The sequence below is a fragment of the Homo sapiens genome, chromosome 3 (assembly GCF_000001405.40).
Source record: "Homo sapiens chromosome 3, GRCh38.p14 Primary Assembly".
NCBI lineage: Eukaryota > Metazoa > Chordata > Mammalia > Primates > Hominidae > Homo > Homo sapiens.
The window spans coordinates 119,495,060-119,498,546 of NC_000003.12; the positions used below are offsets into that span (position 1 = coordinate 119,495,060).

At 44.3% G+C, this 3,487-nt stretch overlaps 1 annotated feature.

Annotated features, from left to right (window-relative positions):
* Positions 3,228 to 3,277: an enhancer, noted in NCBI's record as "active region_20304". NCBI's record gives its function as "activates an Ori minimal core promoter by ATAC-STARR-seq in GM12878 lymphoblastoid cells {active_cell/tissue: GM12878}" and the evidence as "EXISTENCE:reporter gene assay evidence [ECO:0000049][PMID:35858748]".

Genomic DNA, 3,487 nt, shown 5'->3' on the forward strand with positions numbered 1-3,487 from the left:
TTCCCTACACTTAACCCCTAGACTGACTACAAACAAGAGCACAAACAGGCCAGACACAGTGGTTCACACCTGTAATCCCAGCTCTTTGGGAGGCCAAGGCAGAAGAATCACTTGAGCCCAGGAGTTCAAGACCAGCCTGGGCAACATGGTGAGACCTCGGCTCTACAAAAAAAAAAAAAAAAAAAAAAAAAAAAAAAAAAAAAGAGGCAGGAAGATAGCTTGAGTTCGCAATGTTGAGGCTGCAGTGAGCCATGATCATGCCACTGTACTGTACTTCCACCTGGGCAATGGGAATAAGACCCTGTTTCTCAAAAAAAAAAAAAAAAAAAGCACAGATACACAAAAGTCTATCTTTACATGCATCTAAAGATGCCCTCTCTTAGGATAATCTTACTGCATCCAGAGGTAAGGTGTTGTGGATGGAGCAGAGAGTTATATTTACAAGTCACTCATTTAATACTTACCAGATACTTCTTAAGCATCTACTATGCACAGAGACAAGGAAAGTTTACAAGAGGCTCCCAAACCTCAAGGGGCTGTGCCGTTGAGATGATAAACAATATGAGAGGCATCATACATACGTGGAAGGTGATTAAGGCAACAGGAGTGCCAATTATTCATGAAGACAATGTGGATCTGGAGTTTAGAGGAAGAATAAACTTCCAACTGGAGCAGATGGGAAACTTTGTGGAGGTAAAAATTAATTTATACCATGAAGGATAAGTAAATGAAATGGTTCTTGGAGTTCTCAAAATTCATTCTCTCTCCACATGTTGAAAAGTTTTATATCATATATAATGTAACAAAATGTAAAATACGTAGCAAGGGCAGTACTTGGTGAACCTGGCAGGGAAGGGAACCTGCTGACCCCTGAGAAAAAAATTCACTGTGAGGGAAGAAACTATTAGGTTCTATAAACAGAATTCAGCAACAAGGGCTGTTGGTGGAAGAATGGTGTTCCAGGCAGTATGGTGATTGCACTGAAATCTTTCCCTGATGCAGTTACTCTGCTGGCAAACACATGTCCTGGGGACAAGAAAGCCATATGTGAAACAGTGGTCCAGTAAACCCCATAACACCTTTTGGCTTAGACCAAGCTTGTCCAACCCATGGCTCACGAACTGCACGCGGCCCAGGAAAGCTTTGAATGCGCCCCAACACAAATTTGTAAACGTTCTTAAAACATGAGATTTATGCATGGACTTTTTTCTTTTTCTTTTCTTTTTGTTTTTTGTTTTTAGCTCATCAGCTACAGTTAGTGTTATGTGTGGGCCAAGACAATTATTCTTCCAATGTGGCCCAGGGAAGCCAAAAGATTGGACACCTCTGGCTTAGACTGTATTGATCGGAGAACCTTCAAAAAGAGCAGACTACAGCCTACAGGGCTGGGCTTGGTGGCTCACACCTGTAATCCCAGCACTTTGGGAGGCTGAGGCAGGCAGATCACTTGGGGCCAGAAGTTTGAGACCATCCTGGCCAACATGGTGAAACACCATCTTTACTAAAAATACAAAAATTAGCCAGGCTTGTGGCACATGCCTGTAATCCCAGCTACTCAGGAGGCTGAGGCACAAGAATCACTTGAACTTAGGAGGCAGAGGTTGCAGTGAGCCGAGGTCTTGCCACTGCCCTCCAGCCTGGGTGACGAAGCTAAGACTGTATCAAAAATAAAATAAAATAAGCAGACTACAGAGGAGGGTGAGCATTTCCCTTGTTCTAAAAGAAGGTAAGCCGTAAGGGATTGGGGAAGTAGGAAATGTGGGAGGGCTCAGATGGAAGAGCAGCAACAGTGCGAGCAGTAGCCAAAGGAGAGGGGAGTTTTTTGAGTTATCAGGTGGCAAAAGGAACATTACAAATGAGTCTTCCGTTACCCAAATGAGAAACAAGTTATGGAATTTAAAATTTGCCTGTTAATATTACCTCATCTACAGGCTAGTGAATCCTGGGGCATTTGAGTTGTACATAAGTGATTGTGTCAGTATCTTCCCAACACCCACCCAAACCCTCCTACCCATTTCAAGTCCTCCTTCACCCCAGAATAATTCTGGGGTCATCTTATGCATTTAGCTTTTTCTACATATAGGTTAGAAACAGACTGTACAGCCATTTTCTTGGGCTTTCAGGCCTTGGTAACTTATCTTGGTGCCCACTTCTACCTAACATGGGATAAGCAGTAATCCAGAGCCAGAAGTCAGGAGATCTGAATTATTCAACAAATATTTACTGAGCACCTACTGCGGTTCTAGGTCCTGGAGATACAGAGATGAATATATTTGGTCTGTGATCTCAAGGATAGTTTATTGAGACAGATTAATAGGAAATTATGATGCAGTGTTGTAAGTGCTACGATGAGTGCTGAATCAAATCTCATATCCCAGAGTAGTCTTCATGGCGCTGTCACTAATTGAGCTGGTCACTCTAGTCAGTCACTTCTCAGGGACTTATGTGTAGCATTTCCAGCTATCAAATTCCTAAGTCCACTTACTGTATTCTACTACAGTGTGGCAGTTTTGATTGACAACTAGAAAGGAATCAAGGAGGTGAAGGGATTGGCAAAATGAATAAGGGAGTATGCTTGTTAACAAGGATTGAATGAAATTACACGAATATTGAGAATATTTTAAATGCATTCATTTTAATGAAAACTGTACTTCGAAGCATATGTTAGCAGAGGTTGTAGTGACGGCAAATTATACAAACACTTGATAGAAATTCCAGAAATTCTCCTGCCTTTTGAGAAGCAGTAGGCATATGAACTAAAGGGAGTGAAATCCACCTTAGGAAGACCTGCCAAAAAGCTGATTCTTCAAAAAAGTGTTCTCGAAATCTTAGTGTAACTGGCACCAACACCCATCCCCAATGCCTCGTTTTTTTTCCAGCAGAACTGACAAGGTACAAACGGACCCCGCCCAGCCTGGAAGGCTTCTCTAATGTTGGCAGAGTAGGTTGGACTTGTTTTTGCACAAATCGCCTTTCCCTCTTTCCCTACTCCACTTGCACTGAATATTGCACTTTCTTCCTTACTGAAGCGGGATTCCTGCCTTTTTTTTTTTTTTTTGAGACAGATTTTCGCTCTTGTTGCCCAGGCTGCAGTGCAGTGGTGTGATCTCGGCTCACTGCAACCTCCGCCTCCCGGGTTCAAGCGATTCTCCTACCTCAGCCTCCCGAGTAGCTAGGATTACAGGCGCCCGCCACCATGCCCGGCTAATTCCTGGCATTTTAAATACGATAAATTACTTCAACCTATGACCACCTCAAGCTGAATATAAGTAGCCGCAGACACCGTTTGCATGACCCAGGAACCACAAACACGGAGCGAAGGCCTGCCGGGACCACGCTGAGCTTCACTACTGGCAGCCAACTCACTTCCGGGGGTGCACTCAGCACAGCAGTGGCCCAACCCGCCCTCAACCGGAAGTCTTTTGGGCTCCGGCTTCGCCGTCGCCCCGCCCCCTGGCCTTTGCCCCGGTCGGGCGGGACTTCCTGT